This window comes from Homo sapiens, chromosome 1 (genome assembly GCF_000001405.40).
Source record: "Homo sapiens chromosome 1, GRCh38.p14 Primary Assembly".
Classification (NCBI taxonomy): domain Eukaryota; kingdom Metazoa; phylum Chordata; class Mammalia; order Primates; family Hominidae; genus Homo; species Homo sapiens.
In genome coordinates this window covers 46323063-46349246 of record NC_000001.11, presented here as the reverse complement: position 1 = coordinate 46349246, position 26184 = coordinate 46323063, and the positions used below count along the sequence as shown (strand labels likewise).

Sequence of the window (26184 nt, the reverse complement as noted above, 5' to 3'; positions counted from 1 at the left end):
AATGGCATGAACCCGGGAGGCGGAGTTTGCAGTGAGCCGAGATCACGCCACTGCACTCCAGCCTGGGTGACAGAACAAGACTCCGTCTCAAAAAAAAAAAAACAAAAAAACAAACCAAAAAAAACAGTGCACAAGACTGGGCGCGGTGGTTCACACCTGTAATCTCAGCACTTTGGGAGGCCGAGGTGGGTGGATTGCGAGGTCAGGAATTCGAGACCAGCCTGGCCAACATGGTGAAACCCCATCTCTACTAAAAATACAAAAATTATCCGGGTGTGGTGGTGGGTGCCTGTAATCCCAGCTACTCAGGAGGCTGAGGCAAGAGAATTGCTTGGAACCAGAAGGCGAAGGTTGTATTGAGCTAAGATCGTGCCACTGCACTCCAGCTTGGGTAGAAAAGCGAAACTTCTTCTCAAAAAAAAAAAAAAAAAAAAAAAACAGTGCACAAGGCCTTCGCTGGGCTACTTTACTGAGACAAATAAGATGTGGGCCTATCCCCAAGGAATCCACTTTTTTTTTTTTTTTTTTTTTTTTTTTGAGACAGAGTTTTGCTCTTGTTGCCCAAGCGGAAGTGCAATGGCGTGATCTCAGCTCACTGCAACCTCCATCTCCCAGGTTCAAGCGATTTTCCTGCCTCAGCCTCCCAAGTAGTTGGGATTAGCCCACCACCAGGCCCGGCTAATTTTTTGTATTTTTAATAGAAACGGGGTTTTACCATGTTAGCCAGGCTTGTCTTGAACTCCTGACCTCAGGTGATCCACCCGCCTCAGCCTTCCAAAGTGCTGGAATTATAGGCGTGAGCCACCGTGCCCGGCCAGAATCCATCATCTTTAAGAGGGAGAAGATATATAACTAGTAAAGCCCTAAGGCAAGGCTAATGTTGCAAGGGCGATACCCATGCTGTGGGAGCGTAGGAGACAGGCATCATTTCTGAACCGGCCAGCAGAGGTCGTAAGGACAGACGTCCAGGAGGTGGCACACTTGAGCTGAGGCTTGAAAGTCAAAAGGATGACTGGGCAGGCAGGATATCAGCCAGTGGATGGCTGAAGTGAGTACTTGACACAAGGGGCCGGGCGCGGTGGCTCATGCCTGTAATCCCAGCAATTTGGGAGGCCTAGGCGGGCAGATCACAAGGTCAGGAGATTGAGACCATCCTGGCTAACAGGGTGAAACCCTGTCTCTACTAAAAGTACAAAAACAAATTAGCTGGGCGTGGTGGTGGGCGCCTGTAGTCCTAGCTAGTAGGGAGGCTGAGGCAGGAGAATGGCGTGAACCCAGGAGGCGGAGCTTGCAGTGAGCCGAGGTCGTGCCACTGCACTCCAACCTGGGTGACAGAGTGAGACTCCATCTCGAAAAAAAGAGAAAAAAAAAGAAAGAAAAAAAAAAAGAAAGTCAAAAGGATTTGGACAGCCAAGGGTGAGGGAATTCCAGGGAGAAAATTTAACAAGAGCAAAGGCAACAGAGAGTAGCAGAGTAAGGTTAAAGCACATAAAGCCTAGAAGAGTGACATATAAAGCATATAAATGGTGGCTGCAGGCAGATCTTATCATTTTAGTTGGTAGGCTAAAGAAATGGGCTTAATCTTAGAGGAAAAGTAAACAGATGAAGAGGAGTGTGTATCATGTGATCAACTGATCAGAGCCCTACTTCAATCTGACTTCAGAGAACTTGCTCAGCAATCTTTCTTGACCAATTGACAGAGAAAGAGAGGAACTAATGAAAAAATACACAAGCTTAGAAAGTAAGTACTACCCTCCACTCTGACTTTGGGACTAGAGAACCTACCATATTCTTTTTTTGTGTGTGTGTGAGACAGGGTTTCACTCTGTCGCCAAGGCTGGAGTGCAGTGGCAGGATCTCAGCTCATTGTAACCTCCACTTCCCGGGTTCAAGCAATTCTCCTGCCTCAGCCTCCTGAGTAGCTGGTATTACAGGAGTGCACCACCACACCCAGCTAATTTATGTATTTTTAGTAGAGATGGTGTTTCACCATGTTGACCAGGCTGGTCTGGAACTCCTGACATCAGGTGGTCCGCCTCCCTCGGCTTCCCAAAGTGCTGGGATTACAGGCGGGAGCCACTGCGCCTGGCCGAACCTACCATATTAAATGTACCTGGGACTAGGTGAGGTGGGGAGCTCTCTCTGCCCAACACACCAGCACCCTGACTTACGGCAACAGCCAGTCTGAAGCAACGCTAGTGTCTTTCCCCCAGGAGCTGCACATAGGTCAAGCACGATGTCCCCAGGCTGCAGGCCGAGGGCCAGAACAGGCAGCAAGGAGGCAGCATCCATCAGGTAGTACTCCATGACACCCAGGCTGCCAGGTCTGGAAAAGAGGAGACCACTTTATTGTTAAATTCCAGGTCAGGACACCCACTGGGAGTCTAGGCCACCAAGTCTATGCCCTCTGGGGCTTGAGCTCCAATCACCAAAAACTCATTTTTCAGACCCACACTTACTTATTCACTTATTCATTCATCTATACGGGAGCCAGAATGATTATTTATTTACTGATTGATTGACTGACGGAGTTTCACTTTTGTTACCCAGGCTGAAGCGCAGTGGCACGATCTCGTCTCGCTGCAACCTCCACCTCCCAGGTTCAAGTGATTCTCCCGTCTCAGCCTCCTGAATATCTGGGATTACAGGTGCCCGCCACCATGCCTGGCTAATTTTTTTTTTTTTTTTTTTTTTTGAGACACAGTCTCGCTCTGTTGCCCAGGCTGGAGTGCGGTGGCGCAATCTTGGCTCACTGCAACCTCTGCCTCCCAGATTCAAGTGATTCTCCTGCCTCAGCCTCCCAAGTAGCTGGGATTACAGGCTTGTGCCACCATGCCCAGCTAATTTTTTGTATTTTTTAGTAGAGATGGGGTTTCACCATTTTGGCCAGGCTGGTCTTGAACTCCTAACCTCAGATGATCTGCCCGCCTCGGCCTCCCAAAGTGCTGGGATTACAGGTGTGAACCACTGTGCCTGGCCAATTATTGTTTTTAAATAGCTGTCTTCCTCACTAAACTGGAAGCTCTATGAGGGCTTGTTCATCAAGGCACTTAAATGCCTAGCATTTGGTAGATAATTTTTTTTTTTTTTTTTTTTGAGACAGAGTCTCGCTCTGTCGCCCAGACTGGAGTACGGTGGCACGATCTCAGCTCACTGCAACCTCCACCTCCTGGGTTCAAGCAATTCTCCTGCCTCAGCCTCCCAAGTAGCTGGGACTACAGGCGCACGCCACCACACCCAGCTAATTTTTTTGTATTTTAGTAGAGACAGGGTTTCATCATGTTGCCCAGGCTGGTCTCAAACTCCTGAGCTCAGGCAATCCGCCCGCCTCAGCCTCACAAAGTGCTAGGATTAAAGGCGTGAGCCACCACACCCGGCCAATATTTTTTAATAAATAAATCAGTCTTTCAAAAATCAATTCCCATACCCTACAACTAACATTGAGCTCTCCTTAATTGTTAAAGCATAATTCAGCATTTGATTCTGCAGTCTTTTCTCATTCAACTTCATATACATGAGGATTGAATCAAGAAACTGAACTTCTCCTTTCTTTTTCCCAGTCTAATACCAAGTTTGTGCCCCTAGACCAGCCCTATTTCCTAGGAAAGTCCCACTACCTCTTTGCTACCATGAAGTTACTTTTCCTATTCACTTTGATGGGTGGCTGTGAGGGCAAAATGAGAAGACTGCTGTGAATAACACATTTCAACTTGAGAGGGCCCAGTGAGTGCTCATGTAAAAGGTGGCTGTTTTCTACCAGAGGCACAGAGCAGAGTGGGTTCAAAGTGCAGGTTCTGGGTCTAAATATTAGTCACACCACTTACCATCTGAGGGACCTAAAGCAAGTAAGAATCTTAACTTCTCTGTACCTCAGTTTCTCCAAATGTAAAACAGCAATAATATTACCTACTTCATAAGGCTGCTGACAGAACAAAAAGAGATAACATATGTACAGCACCTCAAAAAAATGCCTAGTCTGTATAAACATGCCATAAATATTAGCAATATTATGGTCCTTATTACAGAGGGTAGAAGCTGGGTCTCAACATGTCTACTTCCAGCAGACACTCAGGACCGCTCCAGTCATGGCTCCAGATCCTACCTGGCAGGAGGGAAGCGACTGATATCCCCTCTGTCAAAAGTGAAGCATCGAAGGTTCGGACTGCAGGCCCAGGAGGCAGGGGATGGGGCTGCAGATTGGCCACCCTCAGACTGCAGTTCCCAGTGGGAGATGGCTTCATTCACAAAATCCTTGGCACTCAGCTGCTCCAGCTTAGCACTTACATGATCCCAGGCAGCAAAGTTATTGACCAGTGCACCATACTTCTGCTCTGAGAGGAGACTGACACGGATTGATGGCCAAAGATCTCCAAACTGCACACTGTAAGTCATGTCAAAATTCTGCAAAGCCAGTCGAACAGCAGGGAATTTGGGCTCTGTGGCAGCCTAAAAGAGAGAGGACAGGCTTATTGGTTTTCCCAGTCTTGACTCTACCCCCTACTACCTGACCCCCACCTCAGAGCCTAGGGGCAAACTTGGATCCAGCTAGTGCCCACTCCTGCTTTTGCATCCTGCCTGCCTGCCAGAGAAGTGTGAGAGGGAAAAGTAGTGGAGAGTGGGCCTTCCCATCCCAGGGTTGTCAGATAAAGATGTAACTCTCACGGTACTGTGCGGGGGTCATCAAGAAGGGGGACCTTGGAGAAAGAGGAACTTAGGAATATGGGAGCTCAGGAGAGGACTCTTGAGGAGAGCCTGCAGAAGATTAGGAGAAACTATGGAGGCTCTGGGAAGCTTTGAACTTAAAAGCAAAAGGCCCTTTTCTTCTGAACAGTTCTATTTTCAAAGCACTTTCATGTCTACTAGCTTATGTGAGCACTACAACTGATAGCTCAGTAAGATACAAAAAAAAATTAACAACATTTCAATTTGATGAAGAGATGTGGGTAACTTACCTAGCGTCACACAGTGACTAGCACCACCATGCTTAGAATCAGAGGTTTGAGGGTCATGCTGGGAGAGTTCCCAGACCCCAGAAAGGTTGGATAAGGAGGGCCCACAGAATCTTGAGGTGTGAACCAAAACAGGGACTTCTAGGATGACTGCTATGGGGGTAGCAGGGGACAAGAGGACAAGAACAAGGAGGCAGAGTAAAAGAGAAATGAAGACTTCAGATGAGGAGTGCACAAGTCGGTCCTGGTTGCTGCAGCTGGGATGCTTGCTATAGCTGGCAATCTTGTTACTATCTATGCCTTGCTCTGGCCTAGATTTTTGGTCTGGTCAGAACTTTTGCTCTGGCCCTCATTTCTTGTTATGGTGAGGACTCTTGCTCTGTGACTTTTGCCTCGCTGGGACTCTTGCTCTGGCTCCTGCTATGTTGGGGACTCTTGCTCTGGCCTTGACCTTTGCCATGTTGGGGACTCTTGCTCCGGTTCCGACTTTTGCCATCATAGACTCTTGCTCTTGCCCTGACCTCTGCTAATTTGGGGACTCTCACCCTGGTGCTCATTTATGCTAAGTTGGGGACTCTCACTCTGGCCCTGACTTGTGTTTTGTTGAGGATTACTGCTCCGGCCCCAGCTTCTGCTAGGATAGGGACTGCTTTTCTGACTTGGACTTCTGCTCAGATGATGCCTCTTGCTCCAGCTCTGACTTCTGCCATCATGGGGACTCTTGCTTTGGCTCCGGCTTTGGCTTTGGTGGGAACTCCTGCTCTCGCTGTCACTACTCTGGCATTTGCTAATAATAGTCGAACTACAGCTGGGATTGGTGCTACAGCTGGAATCCTTGGATGAAGGCAAAGGGCAGCTGTAGGGGATCTGCAGAGGCTCTTTGCAAGGGCCTTGAGAGGCCACAGGGTAGATATGGAGGCCACAGGGGACAGTATCAGGGTAGGCCCGGACTCGGGGGACAATGGGTAAACTTTGAGGATCAAAGGGTGTTCTCAAAGGGATAAAAGAATAGATGTGGGTAGAACAAGGAGGCATCACAGGCTGACAACGAGGTTGGGGTGGGCCCCTGGGAGTGCTATAGGTGTCACACAGGGGCACAATGGGAGGGGGGCCTGTCGAATGATTGAGGGAGCCAGACAGTGGGCAGGGATGGGGGGTGGAGGGAACCACAGAGCATATATGGGTATTGCAGGGGGGCCCTATGGAGGGTCCATGGCGGCTGCTCTGAGCATAACTATTGGCCGAGACAGGATCACAAGGAAGGCAGAGGGGAAAAGAAGTGGGGATAACACTTTTGAGAGCTCTAGGGACCACAGTCAGTAAGGTAGTCCCTGGGGGAAGTTCTTTGGGGCTGGAATTTGAAGGAGTTGTGATGTATGGCTGCATACAAGAAGGACCAGAGAGGCAGGAGGGAGGTGGGGGACAGGTGTGGGCCTTAGCGGGCTTGGGCTGGCCAGAAGGGGTGTGCTGGGGAGTGTTGACTAGGGAGAGACATTTGTGGGGAGTATGTGACTGTCTTAACTCTGGGGACTTAGGGGACTTCGGTTGGGGGGAAACTGGAGTGGGAAGAGGGGGTTCATTATAGCTTCTGCGGGGAAGTGACTGGGGTGGAGATATAAACTGGTTGCCCAGGGGTGAAGGGAAGGAAAGGACAGAATGAGGACCATGGGGACGAGATGGTTCCTGGGAACAGGGGGGACCAGAAGTTGTGGTGTCCGGGGTTAGGATGAGGTAAGAGTTCCCAGTTGCCTCCCAGGAGAGAAGGGACTCAATGCAAGCCTTCCTGGGAGCCTGGGACTGGGGTGAGCAAGGAGAATCAGTACTCCCGGGGCACAGGCAGATGGCATAGCAAGGACTCCCAGGGGTAGGTATGTAGGCCTCTGAGGAAAGATGGGAGTAATGATAAGAGCCCTCCTGAGGTGAGCTGGGAGAGCCAGGCATGCCTGCCTGAGAAGAGAGTGGGAAGCCACAACAATTTTTCTCAAGGGGCAGGTCAAGCTGTGGTTTGGGTTCACAAGAGTCTAGAGGCTTAAGGCTGCCATGGTAAAAGCTGCCAGTAGGTGGGGAAGATGCTGGGGAGAGAAGGGGGTCATTATAACTTCTCCCTGAGAACCAGTGAGAGGGCAGAGAGATCATCAGCCCAGTTTCCAAAACTCTGTGAGAAAGGGTTGGGGAGGCCATAGGACTAGTTTCCACCGGCCGGCGAGCAAGAGGAGGTGAAATCGTGAGGCAAGTTCCCGGGGTCCTATGTGTAGGAGGAGGCGAAATCATGGGTCCAGTTTCCAAGGGTACATGAGTGAGCTGAGGGGAGGTCACTGGGCTCGTTCCCGGGGACTGATGAGCAAGGGGAAAGGAGGTTGCCGGGCTGGTTCCAAAAGCTGAAGGCCATCCGCTAGAGTAACAGAGATTAGTGTGCTGGTCACAGTACGTGCCTTGAAGACAGGGACGCCGCATTCTGGAGGGACTCATCCAGCTGCAATAAGGTGTCCGCTGACAGAGAGGGGGTGACCCCGGAATGCTGAACTGCTCAAAATAAGGGCTGGAGAGTGGGGAACCCGAGTGGCAGGGCTAGCGGCAGTAGGTCCTTTCCAGGAGTGGGGAAGAGGACTCAAAAGACCATCTCCCTGAGTGCGAGGAAGGTTGTGGGGGTGGAAGAGATGGTGGAGGTGGCGAGGGAATCGGCTGGGGTGGGCAGGGGGGCGTGCCGGTCATAGAAGAAATTCCAGGGCTTCCAGTGAGGCAAGAAAAAGGGTCTCTGGAGAAGCAAGGAGAGTCCAGAGGATGAGAGGATTCGTTGCACCTTTTGCCAGGGTTTGGGCCGGCAGTATGGACAGGGTGGTCGCTGTAACCTTGCCCGGTCGCCAGAGGCAGCTCGAGGTTGAGGAAGGGGCTGAATCCTTTCCTGCAAGGCGGCGGAGACCCAGGAGTGCAGGCAAGGTCGCTATGGTATTTTCCGAGGGGTGAGGGCGACCGGGCTGGAAAATCAATGAGGAAAGGAGAAGTCATGTGGGGGAAGAATGGGCAAGGGAAAGGGGGAGGGGAGGGAGGGAAGTAAAAGGGGGAGTGGGGGACAGAAAGGTAGGTGGACACAGCTGGGGAACAAGAGACAGTGACATCACTAAAAGAATGAAGGCGAAGGTGATGACGCAACTTGGGCGGAGTCAGGAGACTGCAGACGTAACAAGTGGAAGACACTAACGCTCGGGACATAGAGTGCGGACAGAGGCGGTGACGGAAAAGACGAGAGAGGGAGGTGCCTAAGGACGTTCCGTGGAGTGCTTGGGAAAGACGCTAGGCGTTCTAGAGGGCCGGGAAACGGAAAGACTGGAGAAGTTTCCACCCTCACTTTTCCCTCCTGCGCCCCCAGCCGGACCTTACCCATTTCTTCTTATATCGATGTCTCCGCGGGACCGTCGCGAGGTCCACACGCTTCAGCAGCTCCCGGACACCCCTCAGTGTCAGCGCAGCCATATCGGCGTGCTCCACGGGGTAATTCCGACCGGAACCGCGACAGGAGACTCGCGTGTTCCGGGGAGGTGGTGAGCGCCACCCGGCGGGACACGAGCGAAAAAAGGGAAAGGAAATACATCTGACGCTCTCCCAGGACTCCGCGCGCCTCTACAGACTCCGCCCAGCCAGGAGTCCCCTGAAGGCTGCTGGAAAAAGAGCAACCTGGCACCCGGAATAATGACTCTGCCTGGATGCTTAGAGCAGTGCGAGGGACTCCCAAGAAGCCCCTAGCCCACTTGGGGGACCAGGGAGGATTAGGAGTTGGTGGTTGAGTACCGAAAGAGTTAGCTAGGCGAAAAGGGGCGGGAAGGGCCTCCTAGGCCGAAATTGCATGGAGGAAGATCCTTAGGTAGAGGAAAATGAGACCAGGCTTGTAGGCAGAAGCAGATTTGCAGTGAAACAAATGAAGCTTAAGTTTCGGGACCTGGCCGGGCGTGGTGGCTCACGCCTGTAATCCCAGCACTTTGGGAGGCCGAGGCGAGCAGATCACGAGGTCAGGAGATCGAGACCCTCCTGGCTAACACGGTGAAACCCCGTCTCTACCAAAAATACAAAAAATTAGCCGGGCGAGGTTGCTGGCGCCTGCAGTCCCAGCTACTCGGGAAGCTGAGGGATGGCGTGAACCCGGGAGGCGGAGCTTGCAGTGAGCCCAGATCGCGCCACTGCACTCCAGCCTGGGCGACAAAGCGAGACTCCGTCTCAAAAAAAAAAAAAAAAAAAAAAAAAGTGGAGGCGTGAATAACCCACCCCTTGTTTAGCGTACCATCAAGAAATAACCATAAAAATGGGCAAGCAGCCCTTGGAGCTGCTCTATCTATGGACTATCCATTCTTTTATTCTTGTACTTTAATAAACTTGCTCTCACTTTGCATTGCGGACTCGCCCTGAATTCTTTCTTGTGCGAGATCCATGAACCTCTCTTGGGGTCCGGATCGGGACCCCTTTCTGGTAACAATGCCTGTAATCCCAGCCAATCTCCCTGCCTTTTGATCTCCCTGCCTCACTCCTACCCACCCTGATAATTGGCTGTTGAATGATCATTTAAAAACACAGTTTCTGATCATGTCCCTCCTCTCCACTGGATCCCTACTGGTGATGTCAAATGTTGTGGGGCCTAACGCTTCCGCAATTTGAGAAGACATAGTTAAGAAAAATAATACAAAACTTGGCCGGGCGCGGTGGCTCACGCTGCCCCCAGCCGAAAGCTTTTTCTTATTTGGCATTTGAATGTGGAATTTTGGAATTTTCTTATTGGCAACAAATACTGTCAGTTATTTTCCTTGAAGTGACAGGCTCACTTTGTTCATTTTTCAAGAAAAAGGCTGGCCGGCACTGTGGCTCATTCCTGTAATCCTAGCACTTGGGAGGCCGAGGTGGGTGGATCACCTGAGGTCAGGAGTTGGAGACCAGCCAGGCCAACGTGGTGAAACCCAGTCTCTACTAAAAATACAAAAATTAGTTGGGCATGGTGGCTCATGCCTGTAATCCCAGCTACTTGGGAGGCCGAGGCAGGAGAATAACTTGAAACCAGGAGGCAGAGGTTGCAGTGAGCTGAGATCATGCCACTGCACTCCAGGCTGGGCAACAGAGTGAGACTCTGTCTCAAAAGAAAAATTCTAGTATATTAAAATATAATTGATTTTTTCTGTTGACCTTGTATCCTGAGACCTTCCTAAACTCAATTATTACTTTTGGTAACTTTTTGGAAATCTGTTCAGGTTTTCTATGCATATGGTCATGTCTTTTGTAAATAAAGACACTTTAACTTCTTTCTTTTCTATCTATATCCCTTTTTTTTTTCTTTGCTTTATTCCACTGGCTAGGACTTCCAGTACACAGTTGAATGTAAGTGGTGATGGTAGGCATCCTTGCCTTGTTCCCATTCTTAAGAAGAAAGCATTTAGTACTTCACCATTATATATGATGTTAGCTGTAGTTTTGTGTGTGCGTGTACCTGCATGTGTATAGATGTCCTTTCTTAGGTTTAGAAAGTTCCCTTCTGTTCCTAGTTTGCTGAGATTTTAAAAAATCATGATAGTTGTTGATTTTCCTTAAGTTTTTTTTTTTTTTCTGTTAAGATGATCATACAGTTTTACTCCTTTTTTTTTTTTTTCTTTTTGACGGAGTTTCGCTCTGTCACCAGGCTGGAGTGCAGTGGTGCCATCTCGGCTCACTGCAACCTCCGCCTCCTAGGTTCAAGCAATTATTCTGCCTCAGCCTCCTGAGTAGCTGTTATCACAGGCATGCACCACCACGCCTGGCTAATTTTTGTATTTTTAGTAGAGATGGGGTTTCACCGTGTTGGCCAGGCTGGTCTCGAACTCCTGATCTCAGGTGATCCGCCCACCTCCCAAAGTGCTGTGATTAGGTGTGAGCCCCTGCGCCCAGCCAGTTTTACTTCTTTATTCCATTACTATGATGCATCATGTTGACTGACTTTTCAATATGAACCAACTTTGCATTCTTGTAAAAAACACATCAATTCATGATACAAATACAGTATTTTTTTTCTTTTAGACAGAGTCTTGCTCTGTCACCCAGGCTGCAGTGCAGTGGCACAATCTTGGCTCACTGCAACCCACGCCTCCCAGGTTCAAGCGATTCTTCTGCCTCAGCCTCCTGAGTAGCTGAGACTACAGGTGCAGGCCACCACGCCCAGCTAATTTTTATATTTTTAGTAGAGTCAGGGTTTTGCCATGTTGGCCAATCTGGTCTTGAACTCCTGACCTCAGGTGATCCACCCACCTTGGCCTCCCAAAGTGCTGCGATTACAGGTACGAGCCACTGCGCCCAGCCGATGATACAGTATTCTTTTTAAATATTGTTGGGATTCTTTTTTGTGTGTGTGTGTGTGTTTTTTTTTTTTTTTGAGACGGAGCCTTGCTCTTTCACCCAGGCCGGAGTGCAGTGGCGCTATTTCTGCTCACTGCAAGCTCCGCCTCCCGGGTTCACGCCATTCTCCTGCCTCAGCCTCCCGAGTAGCTGGGACTACAGGCGCCCGCCACCGCGCCCGGCTAATTTTTTGTATTTTTAGTAGAGATGGGGTTTCACTGTGTTAGCCAGGATTGTCTCGATCTCCTGACCTCGTGATCCGCCCGCTCCGGCCTCCCAGATTGTTGGGATTCTTGGGTCTGAGTTAATGAGTCGTATTTGCCTGCAGTTTTTTCTTCTTATAAAGTCTTTGTTTGATTCTGATATCAGGGTAATGCTGGCCTCATAAAATGAATTTAGGAAATGTCCCTTCACTTCTATTTTCTTTTTTTTTTTTAATTTTTTCTTTTTTTGAGTTGGAGTTTCCTTCTTGTTGCCCAGGCTGGAGTGCAATGGCATGATCTCGGCTCACTGCAACCTCCGCCTCCCAGGTTCAAGCGATTCTCCTGCCTCAGCCTCCTGAGTAGCTAGGATTACAGGCACCCGCCACCGCACCTGGCTAATTTTTTTTTCTTTTGTATTTTTAGTAGAGACAGGGTTTCACCATGTTGGCCAGGCTGGTGATTTTTTTTTTTTTTTTTTTTTTTTTTTTTTTTTTGAGACGGAGTCTCGCTGTCGCCCAGGCTGGAGTGCAGTGGCGCAATCTCGGCTCACTGCAGGCTCCGCCCCCGGGGGTTCACGCCATTCTCCTGCCTCAGCCTCCCGAGTAGCTGGGACTACAGGCGCCCGCCACCTCGCCCGGCTAATTTTTTGTATTTTTAGTAGAGACGGGGTTTCACCGTGTTAGCCAGGATGGTCTCGATCTCCTGACCTCGTGATCCGCCCGCCTCGGCCTCCCAAAGTCAGGCTGGTGATTTTTATTGATATATAATAATTGTACATATTTTGGGAGTACATGTGATATTTTGATACATGTATATGATGTATAATGATCAATTATGAAGGGATTGGGATATCCATCACCTCAAACACAAACATTTATCTTTGTGTTGGGATCATTATAATTCTTCTAGATATTTTAAAATATACACTAAATTATTTATAATTATAATTTCCCTACTTTACTATCAAATACTAGAATTTATTCCTTCTCTCTAACCATATTTTTGTACCTATTAACCAACTTCTCAATTTCTTTTTTTTTTTTCTTTTTTTGAGGAGTCTCGCTCTGTCGCCCAGGCTGGAGTGCAGTGGTGCCATCTCGGCTCGCTGCAAGCTCCACCTCCTGGGTTCACACCATTCTCCTGCCTCAGCCTCCCAAGTAGCTGGGACTACAGGTGCCCACCACCACGCCTGGCTAATTTTTTATATTTTTTAGTAGAGACAGGGTTTCACCATGTTAGCCAGGATGGTGTTGATCTCCTGACCTCAGGTGATCCGCCTGCCTCGGCCTCCCAAAGTGCTGGGATTACAGGCATGAGCCACTGCGCCTGGCCTTTTTTTTTTTTTTTTTTTTGTGACGGAGTTTCCTTCTTGTTGCCCAGGCTGGAGTGCAATGGCACATCTTGGCTCATCACAACCTCCGCCTCCCAGGTTCAAGCAATTCTCCTGCCTCAGCCTCCCGAGCAGCTGGGATTACGGGCATGTGCCACCACATCCGGCTAATTTTGTATTTTGAGTAGAGACGAGGTTTTCTCCATATTGGTCAGGCTGGTCTCAAACTCCTGACCTCAGGTGATCTGCCTGCCCCAGCCTCCCAAAGTGCTGGGATTACAGGCATGAGCCACCGTGCCTGGCTCAATTGCTTTAATGATATAGGGCAGTGGTGATTTTATCCCTCCCTTGGGGGACATGTGGTAACATCTGGAGACATTTGGGGTTGTTACAACTGGGTGGTCATTCTGGCATCTAGTCAGTAGAGGCCAGGGATACTGCTCAGTACCCTGCAATACACAGGACAGCCCTTCCCCACAACAATTATCCAACCTAAATATCAACAGTGCTGAGGTTGAGAAACCCTAATATAGAGCTATTTGAACTTTCTAATTCTTCTTGCATTGGTTTTGACAATTTGAATCTTTTTTTTTTCTTTTTTTGAGACAGAGTCTTACTCTGTCACCCAGGCTGGAGTGCAGTGGTGCAATCTCAGCTCACTGCAACCTACACCTCCCAGGTTCGAGATTCTTGTGCCTCAGCCTCCTGAGTAGCTGGGATTACAGGTACGCACCACCATACCCGGCTAATTTTTGTATTTTTAGTAGAGACGGGGTTTCACCATATTGCCCAGGCTGGTCTCTAACTTTCAACCTCAGGTGATCCCCCTGCCTCAGCCTCCCAAAGTGCTGGAATTACAGGCATGAGCCACCAAGCCCAGCCCCAACAATTTTAGTCTTTTAAAGAATGTGTCCATTTCATCTAAGGTATTGATTGTCTTCATATAAAGTGTTTCAGAATATTCCATTATTATCCTTTTAATGTCTATAGTATGGGGCGGCAAACTACAGCCACAAGCCAAATTCATCCTGCAGCCTGTTTTTGAAATATAAATACATAATTTTTATGGCTCCTTTACCACTGCAATAGAGTTAAGTAGTTGCTCCACAGATCATGTGTGGCCCACAAAGCCAAACATGCTCCCTGAATCTTTACAGAAAAAGCTTGCTGACCTTTGGTTTATAGGATCCTTAGTGATGTCCCCTATTACTGATATTGGCAATTTGTGTCTTCCCTCTTTTGTACCTTATCAGGCTAATGAGATGTTTATATATTTTATTGAACTTTTCAAAGGACTAGCTTTCGGTTTTGTTGTTTTCCTCCGTTTCTTTTATATGTAATTGATTTCCACTCTTATATTTATAGTTGATTTCTTTCTACCTTAGTTCTGTTGTCAAACTAAATAAAAGAGATTATCCAAATATAATCAATTAATTCAGGAGTAAGCATTGCAATGTGGAATATGGTACCATATTAACCTACGGGCATATGAGGAGGTAAAGGAAAACAAGAGTTGTTTTTTGTTTTTTAATTTTTTTTGAGACAGGGTCTCATTGTGTTGCCCAGGCTGGAGCGCAGTTGCACAGTCATGGCTCACTGCAGCCTCAACCTCCCAGGCTCAATCAATCCTCCTGCCTCAGCCTCCCAAGTAGCTGGGACTACTACTGGCACAAGCCACCACACCTGGCTAATTTTCATATTTTTTGTAGAGATGAGGTTTCACCATTTTACCCAGGCTGGTCTCAAACTCCTGGGCTCAAGGGACCGCCTGCCTTGGCCACTCAAAGAGTTGGGATTACAGGCATGAACCACTATGCCTGACCTGAAAAAAAAAGCAGGGGGGGCGGGGGTTAAAGGAAAAGTGAGAATCGTTACACATAGTAAGTTGTTTTGGAACAATTATCCCTTGCTACAAGAATTAGTAACAAGGGTTAGTCAATAACAAGCATCAGTCCAAGGTTGGACAGGCAGTTACTGGGCAGATGTTTTCACAGTAGTATTTTGTGTAAGGTTGTGATGGTTTTTGTGCAGGGCTGTGGTTTAGATGCAGACAGGCAGGCGAGCCCCAAAACTGGGGCTTAGTCTGGGAAGGATCTTGGCTTTGCCCAGGAAAGAATTTAAGGGTGAGCCGGTGGTGTTAAACAGCAATTTTTTTTTGAGTCAGGGTCTCACTCTGCCACCCAGGCTAGAGTGCAGTGGTGCAATCCCAATTCACTGCAGTCTCAACCTACTGGGCTCAAACAAGCTTCCCACCTCAGCTACCCAAGTAGCTGGGACCACAGGTGCCCACCACCATGACCAGCTAATTTTTGTATTTTTTGTAGAGACAAGATCTCATTATGTTGCCCAGGCTGGTCTCAAGCTCCTGAGCTCAAGCAATCTTCCTGCCTCAGCCTCCCCAAGTGCTGTTATTGGAGGCATCAGCCACCATGAGTGGTCAAACAGCAATTTTTATTGAACTGGAGCTACTCCTTGTAGAGTAGAGACAACTCATAGGCAGTGTGCCCAGAGCCGCTCTTGTCCTGTTAGCAACTGTATTTATAGCCACTTACACCCACTTTTAATTAGATGCAAATTAAGAAGCAGGCTAATGCAAATTGAGGGGCAGGTTATTCCTAACTTTCTAGGAAAGGGGCAGTAACTTCCTGGTCATTGCCATAGCATCTGTAAATATGCCCCAGAGGAAGTATCTTATGCTAATGACCAGTGAGGGTAGCTAGGGATGGTTTTTGTTGCCATCTGCTGGTTCCTGCCGGTTTCTTCATTTTATCTAAGCGGCACCTTGGGAGCTGGAAATAATTCCTGCCAGTCCCCTACTTCATTCCCCCTCAGAGATTAGATACTCCTCCTTAATCTTAAAGGGGCGGCCAGGTGTGGTGGCTTAGGCCTGTAATCCCAGCACTTTGGGAGGCCAAAGCAGGTAGATCACTTGAGGCCGGGGGTTCGAGACCAGCCTGGCCATCATAATGAAACCCCATCTGTATTAAAAATACAAAAATTAGCTGGGCGTGGGGCACAGGCCTGTGGTCCAGGCTACTCAGGAGGCTGAGGCAGGAGAATCATTTGAACTCGGGAGGAGGTTGCAGTGGGCCAAGATAGCACCACTGCGCTCCAGCCTGGGGGACAGAGTGAGACTCTCTCTTTAAAAAGACCTTAAATGGGCTGCAGAAGGGAAGAGGGCCATCTTCTGTAGCTGTTTTCTGCTAATTTTATGGTCATAGGCCCTGCCTAGCATTGGAGGAGTGACAATCTCTGGATACCTAATCTGATGGGTCTAATAGCTGCTTGTTTTTATTTTCTAAGTCAGAAGATGGGATGGGTTAGAAGTCTTGTGCCAGCATTGTTTTCATGTGGAATTATTGTAGTCTAGAAGACACAAATGTTACTAGGAGGTTAAACAAGCAAGGGCCAAAAATTAGTAATAATAGAATCGCTATTTAAAAGTCTTAGGAAAGGTAAAAACCAGGTGAGAATAACAAATATAGTTTAATACTGCACATACTCAGCCTTGTAATATTATTTAGTTTTGTGTTTGTGAAATAACAACTTTTTTTTTTTTTGAGACGGAGTCTCGCTCTGTCCCCCAGGCTGGAGTGCAGTGGCGCGATCTCAGCTCACTGCAAGCTCCGCCTCCCGGGTTCACGCCATTCTCCTGCCTCAGCCTCCCGAGTAGCTGGGACTACAGGCGCCCGCCAACACGCCCAGCTAATTTTTTGTATTTTTAGTAGAGACGGGGTTTCACTGTGTTAGCCGGGATAGTCTCAATCTCCTGACCTCGTGATCCGCCCGTCTCGGCCTCCCAAAGTGCTGGGATTACAGGCATGAGCCACCGTGCCCGGCCACAACTTTAAGTCTTATAAGAGTTTGAGGGAAGAGAGAGAACTTCTCATATGGTTTTATATTGTTTTATACTCAGTACCTGTTTTAAGAAAAAAAAAAAAAAACAAGGAAGTAAAACCAAAGACAGGCAGCCCGGCGCCAGGCCCGAAACCAGGCCCTGGCCTGCCTGACCTAAACCCAGTAGTTAAAAATCAACTCATAACTTAAAAACCGATGTTATTCATAGATTCCAGACATTGTATAGAAGAACACTGTGAAACTCCCTGCCCTGTTCTGTTTCTCTCTGAGCACCGGTGCATGCAGCCCCTGTCACGTACTCCTTGCTTGCTCAAATCAATCACGACCCTTTCATGTGAAATCCTTAGAGTTGTGAGCCCTTAAAAGGGACAGGAATTGCTCACTCGGGGAGTTCGGATTTTAAGGCAGTAGCTTGCCGATGCTCCCAGATGAATAAAGCCCTTCCTTCTACAACTCGGTGTCTGAGAGGTTTTTGTCTGCGGCTTGTCCTGCTACATTTCTTGGTTCCCTGACCGGGAAGCGAGGTGACTGACGGCCGGCTTAAACCTGCCCTGTGGAGCGTCCCTGTGGGGGACTCCAGACAGCTTGAGTGACGCGATCCAAAGAGTGCTCCCGGGTAGGCAATTGCCCCAGTGGAACGCGTCGCCAGAGCAGCATGTAGCAGGCCCCCACAGAGGATTAACACAGTGGCTGAACACCAGGAAGGAACTGGCACTTGGAGTCCGGACATCTGAAACTTGGTAAGACTAGTCTTTGGAACTTGCCCCACTCCATCTGAGTGGAAGCATGGCCTGATCACCCATGGCGGGTCTGCATTGGCACTTTTGTTCTGGTTTTAACTTGACTTGAATTGCTGGATACTTTGGTTTTGGTTTTGACTTGTCTTGGATTTTTTGGTACTCGGATTTTGAATTTCGTGATTTTGGTTTGGTATAAACGGTAAAAGTGTATGTGTGCCCTTTTTACCTGTTCTTTGTCTTGTGGTGAGTGTGTGTGATGTGAGCATGGTATTTTGTATCAAAAAAAAAAAGCAGCATGGGTCAGGCAAATAAGCCCACCCCACTAGGAACTATGTTAAAAAGAGAATTTCAAGAGAGAATTTAAGGGAGATTACGGTGTTACTGTGGCACCAGGAAAACTTAAAACTTTGTGTGAAATAGACTGGACAGCATTAGAGGTGGGTTGGCCTGGACAGGTCCGTTGTTTCAAAGGTATGACAGAAGGCCACCTGTAAGCCAAGGCACCCAGACCAGTTTCTGTACATAGACAGTTACAGCTGGTTTTAGACCCCCTTCCCCCCCACAGCAGTCAAGAGAATAGCAGCATAATGGCCGGGCACGGTGGCTCAAACCTGTAATCCCAGCACTTTGGGAGGCCGAGGCGGGCGGATCACAAGGTCAGGAGATCGAGACCATCCTGGCTAACACGGTGAAACCCCGTCTCTACTAAAAATACAAAAAAAAAAAATTAGCTGGGCGTGGTGGCAGGCACCTGTAGTCCCAGCTGCTGGGGAGGCTGAGGCAGGAGAATGGCATGAACCTAGGAGGCGGAGCTTGCAGTGAGCTGAGATCGCACCACTGCACTCTAGCCCGGGCGACAGAGCAAGACTCCATCTCAAAAAAAAGAATAGCGGCATAAATGGCTGGCAGAGGCAAGGAAAGACCAGCAGAGAGAAAAAGAGGCCATCTATACCAATTCTAAGTTAATTTAGACTAAACAAGGTCTTATTAATAGCAAAGGATAATTGAAATCCCAAACTTACAAGGTTTTCAACAAAAGTGACGTTTGCTAAAAGTTAACAGTGTAACATGTATTATGGTAACTTCTAATCTTGTGGCCTTGGACAGTCTAGTCCAAAGACATAAGGAATGGTTATCTTCAAAAAAAGAAAAAAAAAGGGGGGCAGGCAAAATTTATGTAAAAAGAGTGTTATATGGTAAATTCTTGTCCTGAAATAAATTAACTGTTTGTTTAAAGAAAAAAAGTTTGTAATAAGTCAGAAAGTTGAGACATGTTGAAAAATTGTCTCCAAAAGTTGTAAACAAAAAATGAAGGGGTGGGTTGCCCCTCCACACCTTTGGGTGTTTCTTGTTAGGTGGAACGAGAGACTTGGAAAAGAAAAAGACATGGAGACAAAGTATAGAGAAAGAAATAAGGGGGCCCAGGGGACCAGCGTTCAGCATACGGAGGATCCCGCCGGACTCTAAGTTCCCTTAGTATTTATTGATCATTATTGGGTGTTTCTCTCTCAGAGAGGGGGATGTGGCAGGGTCATAGGATAATAGTGGAGAGAAGGTCAGCAGGTAAACACGTGAACAAAGCTCTCTGCATCATGAACAAGGTAAAGAATTAAGTGCTGTGCTTTAGATATGCATACACATAAACATCTCAATGCCTTAAAGAGCAGTATTGCCCACCGCATGTCCCACCTCCACCCCTGAGGCGGTTTTCCCCTATCTCAGTAGATGGAATATACAATTGGGTTTTACACTGAGACATTCCATTGCCCAGGGACGCGCAGGAGATAGATGCCTTCCTCTTGTCTCAACTGCAAAGAGGCATTCCTTCCTCTTTTACTAATTCTCCTCAGCACAGAACCTTTACGGGTGTCGGGCTGGGGGATGGTCAGGTCTTTCCCTTCCCACGAGGCCATATTTCAGACTATCACATGGGGAGAAACCTTGGACAATACCTGGCTTTCCTAGGCAGAGGTCCCTGAGGCCTTCTGCAGTGTTTGTGTCCCTGGGTACTTGAGATTAGGGAGTGGTGATGACTCTTAATGAGCATGCCGCCTTCAAGCATAAAAAATTGGTCAAACATAAAAAATTGGATAAATATGTCTACAAGGTTTTATTAAAATTAAGTTTAACATTAACAACACACTAATATAAAGGTAAAATTTAACTTATCTGGTATAAAAATCATACAAGAAACATTATTAAATATAAAATAATGTTTAGCTTTCTTTGGTCTAAAAACTAATAAAAATAGGTGCTAAAGGAAACATTCATTTTACTAGAGGACCATACAAGTTAAAGACTTAAAACAAACTTTGGCAATTAAGACGGCATACCAAGATGCAAATGCCTGGTTGAAATGGATCATATATTCCATCTGCACGTTAAACAAAAGCAATTGTTATGCTTGTGCACGTGGCAGGCCAGAGGCCCTGATTGTCCCCCTTCCACTAAGGTGGTCCTCCAGTCGACCAGGCGTGGGCTGCATGGTAGCTCTTTTCCAGGATTCTACAGCCTGGAGTGATAAGTCATGCCAAGCTCTCTCTGCTATATCCTGAAGTCCCTGCGGGTCAGCCCCGGAGGGCCATCCAACTTATGTCTCCCAACACTAAGTTCACTTCTTGTCTCTCATGGCAGGGAGGAGATTTAGCATTCCTTGGAGACCTGAAGGGATGCAGTGAGCTTAAGAATTTTCAAGAGCTTATCAATCAGTCAGCCTCTGTTCATCCCCGAGTGGATGTATGGTGGTATTGTGGTGGACCTTTACTGGGCACTCTGCTGAATAACTAGAGTGGCACTTGTGCTTTAGTCCATTTGGCTATCCCTTTTACCCTGGCATTTCATCAACCAGAGGAAAAAAAAAAAATAAGACATCATAAAGCGAGAGAAGCTCCTTATAGGTCTTTCAACTCTCACATCTATTTAGATGCAACTGGAGCCCCGCAAGGAATACCAGATCAATTTAAAGCTTGAAATCAAATAGTTACAGGATTTAAGTCAATATTTTGATAGATGACAGTCAATAAAAATGTAGATTAGAAAAACTACATCTATTACAATGAGCTTTACATGAGTTAAAAAAAAACTCCTTTTGGGCCCAGCCCTGAGGCTATCTGACCTGACAAAACTCTTTACACTCTATGTGTCAGAAAGAGAAAAAATGGCAGTTAGAGTTTTAACCCAGACTGTAGGGCCCTGGCCAAGGCCAGTGGCCTATCTCTCAAAGCAACTAGACGGGGTTTCCAAAGGCTGGCCCCACGTCCAAGGGCCCTGGCAGCAACGGCCCTGTTAGCACAAGAAGCAAATAAGCTAACTCTTAGGCAAAACCTAAAGTCCCCCCATGCTGTGGTGATTTTAATAAATACCAAAGGACACCATTAACTAATGAATGCTGGACTAACTAGATACCAAAGCTTGCTCTGTGAAAATCCCTGCATAACCATTGAAGTTTGCAACACCCTAAACCCCGCCATCTTGCTGGGCATCTTGTATCAGAGAGCCCAGTTAAACATAACTGTGTAGAAGTATTGGACTCAGTTTATTCTAGTGGGCCCAAACTCCGAGACCATCCTTAAACAGCAGTAGACTGGGAGCTGTACGCGGATGGGAGCAGCTTCGCCAACCCCTGCAAAGTGACTCTGAAGAAGACGACAAGCCCTGCTCCAGTCATACCCGGAAGCTGACTGGTCCACACACAGCTGAAGCATGAGGAAACTCATAGCAGGGGACTCATTTTCCTTAAAATTTGGACTTGTATTGTAAGGACTTCAACTGACCTTCCTAAGACTGAGGGCTGTTCCCAGTATATACATCAAGTCACTGAGGGACAAAAGATTGCTAAAGTCTTATTATTTTATGGTTATTATAAGTGTACCAGGACTCTAAAAGTTGTTTGTATAATGCAATTCTATCCAAGGTATGTAGCCCAGGAAATAACCAACCTGATGCGTGTTATGACCCATTTTAAGCCTCCCATGATCAGTTTTTAAAATAAAATTAATGACTGGTCCTTTTCTAGGCGACACAAGTAAAGTAATAGCTAGGACAGAAGAAAGAGGGGTCTCCAAGCATATAACCCTAAAATTTAATGCTTGTGCCACTATCAATAGTAATTGGCATAAAATAAGATGCAGTTCTTTAAGTTGAAAAAAAAAAAGTTTACACGGCAGGAAATAAGTATATCTGCCATGAATTAAGCTCATGTGCAAATGTGTGTAATTACTGGTCTTGTGTCATCTAGACTACTTAGAAAAAGGATGAAAAAGATCCTGTTTAGCTCCAAAAAGGAGAATGCAGCCCCTCCTATACGAGTGGACATTGGAACCCCTTGAAATTAATAATTACAAATCCCTTAAACCCAAGGTAGAAAAAAGGAGAACACGTATCTCTGGGCATCAATAGGAAAAGACTAGGTCCTACAGCAAATATCTTAGTAAAAGAGGAGTTTTGTAAACTCTCTCTGGAACCAGTATTTCAGACTTTCTATGATGAACTAAATTTGCCAGTACCAAGAGACTCCAGGAAAAACCAGAAATTTGTTTTTGCAATTAGCCGAGCGTGTAGCCCAGTCTCTAAATGTCACTTCATGTTATGTTTGTGAAAAAACTGTAATAAGAGCTCAATGGCCATAAAAAGCCCAAGAATTAGTGCCTACAGACGCAGTTCCTGATGAATTCCTGGCCCACAAGAATCACCCTGATCATCTCTAGGTTCTAAAAGTCTCAATTATTGGACAATATTACATAGCTAGAAAAAAGAAAGAATTCACTCATTCTATAGGATGTCTTAGTTGTTTGGGCCAAGAACTGTATAATGGTACCGCAAAAAAACAGTTACATGGTGAAGTTCCAATTATATAGAAAGAGATCCATTCAGTAAATTTCCAAGGTTGCAGACTGTCTGGGCCCACCTGGAATTCCACCGGGACTGGACTGCCCCCACCAAGTTATACTGAATACGTAGACATAGAGCTTAAGCTAAGCTGCCTGACCAGTGGACAGGTAGTTGTGTTATTGGCACTATTAAACCATCTTTCTTTCTACTGACCATAAAAACAGGCAAACTCCTGGGCTTCCCTGTCTATGCTTCCCGCGGAAAATGAAGCATAGCCATAGGAAATTGGAAAGATGATAAATGACCTTCAAAAAAAAATTATATAATACTATAGGCCTGCCACTTAGACACAAGACGGCTCATGGGGATACTGGACCCCCACTTACATGCTCAACTGAATCATACAGCTGCAAGCTGTTTTAGAAATCATCACTAGTAAAACCAGTCAAGCCTTGACTATTCTGGCCCAGCAAGAAACTCAGATAAGAAATGCTATCTATCAAAATAGATTGGCTCTCAACTACTTGCTAGCAGCTGAAAGAGAGGTCTATAAGAAATTTAACCTTACTAATTACTGTCTACACATAGATAATCAAAGGCAAGTAGTTAAAGACATAGTTAAAAATATGACAAAACTGACACATGTGCCCATGCAAGTGTAGCATGAATTCGATCCTGAAGCCATGTTTAAAAATTAGTTCCCAGCACTAGAAGGATTTAAAACTCTTATAATAGAATTTATAATAGTAATAAGAACCTGTTTACTGCTTCCTTGTTTGCTACCTGTACTTCTTCAAATGATAAAAAGCTTCATCACTATCTTAGTTCACCAAAATGCTTTAGCACAAGTGTACTATATAAATCACTATCAATCTATTGCACAAAAAGACATAAGTAGCAAAAATAAAAGTCAGAACTCCCACTAATAGAAAGTGAGAGTCTCAAAGGGGGGAAATGAGGGGAGAGAGAGACCTTCTCATATTGTTTTATATTGTTTTATACTCAGTACCTATTTTAAGAAAAAAAAAAAAAAAAAACAAGGAAGTAAAACCAAAGACAGGCAGCCCAGCGCCAGGCCCGAAACCAAGCCTGGGCCTGCCTGGCCTAAACCCAGTAGTTAAAAATCAACTCATAACTTAAAAACCGATGTTATTCATAGATTCCAGACATTGTGCAGAAGAACATTGTGAAACTCCCTGCCCTGTTCTGTTTCTCTCTGACCACCGGTGCATGCAGCCCCTGTCACGTACCCCTTGCTTGCTCCAAATCAATCACGACCCTTTCATGTGAAATCCTTAGAGTTGTGAGCCCTTAAAAGGGACAGGAATTGCTCTCTTGGGGAGTTCGGATTTTAAGGCAGTAGCTTGCCGATGCTCCCAGCTGAATAAAGCCCTTCCTTCTACAACTCGGTGTCTGAGAGGTTTTGTCTGCGGCTCATCCTGCTACAAGTTCACAAGTGTAGGTCATGATGTCCTCCTTTTACTCCTACAGGGACTCATAAGAAACAGGTTTAATATTGGACAGGTGTACCCAGCTAGTGATTTCCTAAAGGTTAATAGTAGTTGGGGGTACTTAACAATACCTATTAAAGGCTCTTTTATTTTGGTTGTAATTGATTCTCGGGGTAGGGGGACAGAGTGAGACTCTGTCTCAAAAAAAAAAAATTACAAGAAATTTTGCTTTTCAATACTATAACCTGTTTCTTTTAAGAACTTATCACCCGGGCACGGTGGCTCACGCCTGTAATCCCAGCACTTTGGAAGACCAAGAAGGGCAGATCACGAGGTCAGGAGATCGAGACCATCCTGGCTAACACGGTGAAACCCTGTATCTACTAAAAAAATACAAAAAAATTAGTCAGCGTGGTGGTGGGCGCCTGTAGTCCCAACACTTTGGGATGCCAAGGCAGGTGAATCACCTGAGGTCGGGAGTTCAAGACCAGCCTGACCAACATGGAGAAACCCCGTCTTTACTAAAAAGTACAAAATCGGTCGGGTGTGGTGGCGCATGCCTGTAATCCCAGCTACTCGGGAGGCTGAGGCAGGAGAATCACTTGAACCCGGGAGGCGGAGGTTTTGGTGAGCCGAGATCGTGCCATTGCACTACAGCCTGGGCAACAAGAGGAAAACTCCATCTCAAAAATAAAATAAAATAGGCCAGGTGCGGTGGCTCACTCCTGTAATCTGAGCACTTTGGGAAGCTGAGGTGGGTGGATCACGAGGTCAAGAGATTGAGACCTCCCTGGCTAACATGGTGAAACCCCATCTCTACTAAAAATACAAAAAATTAGCCGGGCGCAGTGGCGGGCGCCTGTAGTCCCAGCTACTCGGGAGGCTGAGGAAGGAGAATGGCGTGAACCCAGGAGACGGAGCTTGCAGTGAGCCGAGGTCGTGCCACTGCACTCCAGCCTGGGTGACAGAGCGAGACTCCATCTCAAAAAATAAAACTAAATAAATAAATAAAATAAAATAAATAACCAGTCATTTCACTCTAGGACAAGAATTTACCACATAAGATTTTACCTCATGTAAAATTACTCGTGTGTGTGTGTGTGTGTGTGTGTGTGTGTGTGTGTGTGTATTTTTTATTTTTTATTTTTTTGAGTCAGAGTCTCGCTCTGTTGCCAGACTAGAGTGTAGTGGCACAGATCTCGGCTCACTGCAACCTCCACCTCCCGGGTTCAAGCGATTCTCCTGCCTCAGCCTCCGGAGTAGCCGGGACTACAGGCGCACACCACCACGCTCAGCTAATATGTTTGTGTTTTTAGTAGAGACAGGGTTTCACAATGTTGGCCAGGATGGTCTCGATTTCTTAACCGCATGATCCGCCTGCCTCAGCCTCTCAAAGTGCTGGGATTATAGGCGTGAGCCACCACGCCCGGCCTCGGCCTATATTTTTAAAATTAAAAATACATCTTTATTTCTGTATCTTTCTTTCTTTCTCTCTCTCTTTCTTTCCTTCTTTCTTTTTTTAAGACGGAGTTTCACTATTGTTGCCCAGGCTGGAGTGCAATGGTGCAACCTCAGCTCACCACAGCCTCCGCCTCCCGAGTTCAAGCGATTCTCCTGTCTCAGCCTCCCGAGTAGCTGGGATTACAGGCGCATATACCACCACGCCCAGCTAATTTTTGTGTTTTTAGTACAGACAGGGTTTTATCATATTGGTCAGGCTGGTCCCGAACTTCTGACCTCAGGTGATCCGCCCGCCTCGGCCTCCCAAAGTGCTGGGATTACAGGCGTGAGCCACCGCACCCGGCCTATATCTTTCTTTATATCTCTTTCTCCTACTTACTGGTTTCTTTTTCATTTTTTAATTTTTTGAGACAAGGTTTCAGTCTGTTGCCCAAACTGGAGCAATCATAGCTCACTGCAGCCTCAACCTCCCAGGCTCAAGCAATCTTCTCACCTAAGTCTCACGAATAGCTGGGTCCACAGGCATGTACCACCACGCCCTGCTCATTTTTTTGTTTGTTTAGGGATAGGGTCTCCCTATGTTGCCCAGGCTGGTCTCAAACTCCTGTGCTCAATTGATCCTCTGCCTTGGCCTCCCAAAGTACTGGAATTACACGTGTGAACCACTGCACCTGGCCCAGTTTCTTATTTTAAACTTCTCTTTAAATAATACCCAAATTGGCCAAAAGAAAAAATTAATAAGAGCACCATCTTTTGGCATATTTTATATACAGAATTACATGTTACCTTAAATTCTTAACAAACATAAATTTTAGTGAAAATCTAGGAATCCAGAAATCATGCCCCAGTTTATTTGTTTTGTTTTGTTTGAGATGGAGTCTTGCTCTGTCACCCAGGCAATGGCGCAACCTCGACTCACTGCAATCTCTGCCTCCTGAGTTCAAGGGATTCTCCTGCCTCAGCCTCCTGAGTAGCTGGGATTACAGGTGCATGGTACCACACCCAGCTAATTTTTTGTAT

The 26184-nt window shown here is 46.7% G+C and overlaps 1 protein-coding gene across 22 annotated transcripts in view, besides 8 other annotated features; it reads right to left on the bottom strand.

Moving 5' to 3' along the window:
* The window catches only part of NSUN4 (NOP2/Sun RNA methyltransferase 4), a 44393-nt gene extending 35953 nt beyond the window's left edge, over positions 1 to 8440 (bottom strand). For 8 of the 22 annotated variants that reach the window (NR_170624.1, NM_001387270.1, NM_001387266.1 and 5 more), the window contains exons 1-3: positions 8328 to 8440; positions 4103 to 4446; positions 2172 to 2326 (exon numbers count right to left, since the gene is read on the bottom strand). Coding sequence is in view for 11 of the 22 variants with exons in the window: in NM_001387270.1 (NP_001374199.1) it covers positions 2172 to 2326; positions 4103 to 4446; positions 8328 to 8420 (592 nt within the window). In the remaining 11 variants the exon portion in view is untranslated. Of the gene's footprint in view, positions 1 to 2113; positions 2327 to 4102; positions 4447 to 4952; positions 8070 to 8327 lie in introns of those variants that run through there. The other 14 variants (NR_170622.1, NR_045790.2, NR_170620.1 and 11 more) reach the window with 11 other exon arrangements.
* Positions 7153 to 7242: an enhancer, noted in NCBI's record as "active region_1000". NCBI's record gives its function as "activates an Ori minimal core promoter by ATAC-STARR-seq in GM12878 lymphoblastoid cells {active_cell/tissue: GM12878}" and the evidence as "EXISTENCE:reporter gene assay evidence [ECO:0000049][PMID:35858748]".
* Positions 8370 to 8579: an enhancer, noted in NCBI's record as "active region_999". NCBI's record gives its function as "activates an Ori minimal core promoter by ATAC-STARR-seq in GM12878 lymphoblastoid cells {active_cell/tissue: GM12878}" and the evidence as "EXISTENCE:reporter gene assay evidence [ECO:0000049][PMID:35858748]".
* Positions 9240 to 10039: an enhancer, noted in NCBI's record as "H3K27ac hESC enhancer chr1:46804880-46805679 (GRCh37/hg19 assembly coordinates)". NCBI's record gives its function as "activates a minimal SCP1, AML or CMV promoter by ChIP-STARR-seq in naive H9 embryonic stem cells {active_cell/tissue: H9 hESC(naive)}" and the evidence as "EXISTENCE:reporter gene assay evidence [ECO:0000049][PMID:30033119]".
* Positions 15258 to 15307: a silencer, noted in NCBI's record as "silent region_845". NCBI's record gives its function as "represses an Ori minimal core promoter by ATAC-STARR-seq in GM12878 lymphoblastoid cells {active_cell/tissue: GM12878}" and the evidence as "EXISTENCE:reporter gene assay evidence [ECO:0000049][PMID:35858748]".
* Positions 16843 to 17572: an enhancer, noted in NCBI's record as "H3K27ac-H3K4me1 hESC enhancer chr1:46797347-46798076 (GRCh37/hg19 assembly coordinates)". NCBI's record gives its function as "activates a minimal SCP1, AML or CMV promoter by ChIP-STARR-seq in naive H9 embryonic stem cells {active_cell/tissue: H9 hESC(naive)}" and the evidence as "EXISTENCE:reporter gene assay evidence [ECO:0000049][PMID:30033119]".
* Positions 18303 to 19031: an enhancer, noted in NCBI's record as "NANOG-H3K27ac-H3K4me1 hESC enhancer chr1:46795888-46796616 (GRCh37/hg19 assembly coordinates)". NCBI's record gives its function as "activates a minimal SCP1, AML or CMV promoter by ChIP-STARR-seq in naive H9 embryonic stem cells {active_cell/tissue: H9 hESC(naive)}" and the evidence as "EXISTENCE:reporter gene assay evidence [ECO:0000049][PMID:30033119]".
* Positions 19032 to 19761: an enhancer, noted in NCBI's record as "NANOG-H3K27ac hESC enhancer chr1:46795158-46795887 (GRCh37/hg19 assembly coordinates)". NCBI's record gives its function as "activates a minimal SCP1, AML or CMV promoter by ChIP-STARR-seq in naive H9 embryonic stem cells {active_cell/tissue: H9 hESC(naive)}" and the evidence as "EXISTENCE:reporter gene assay evidence [ECO:0000049][PMID:30033119]".
* Positions 19762 to 20490: an enhancer, noted in NCBI's record as "H3K27ac-H3K4me1 hESC enhancer chr1:46794429-46795157 (GRCh37/hg19 assembly coordinates)". NCBI's record gives its function as "activates a minimal SCP1, AML or CMV promoter by ChIP-STARR-seq in naive H9 embryonic stem cells {active_cell/tissue: H9 hESC(naive)}" and the evidence as "EXISTENCE:reporter gene assay evidence [ECO:0000049][PMID:30033119]".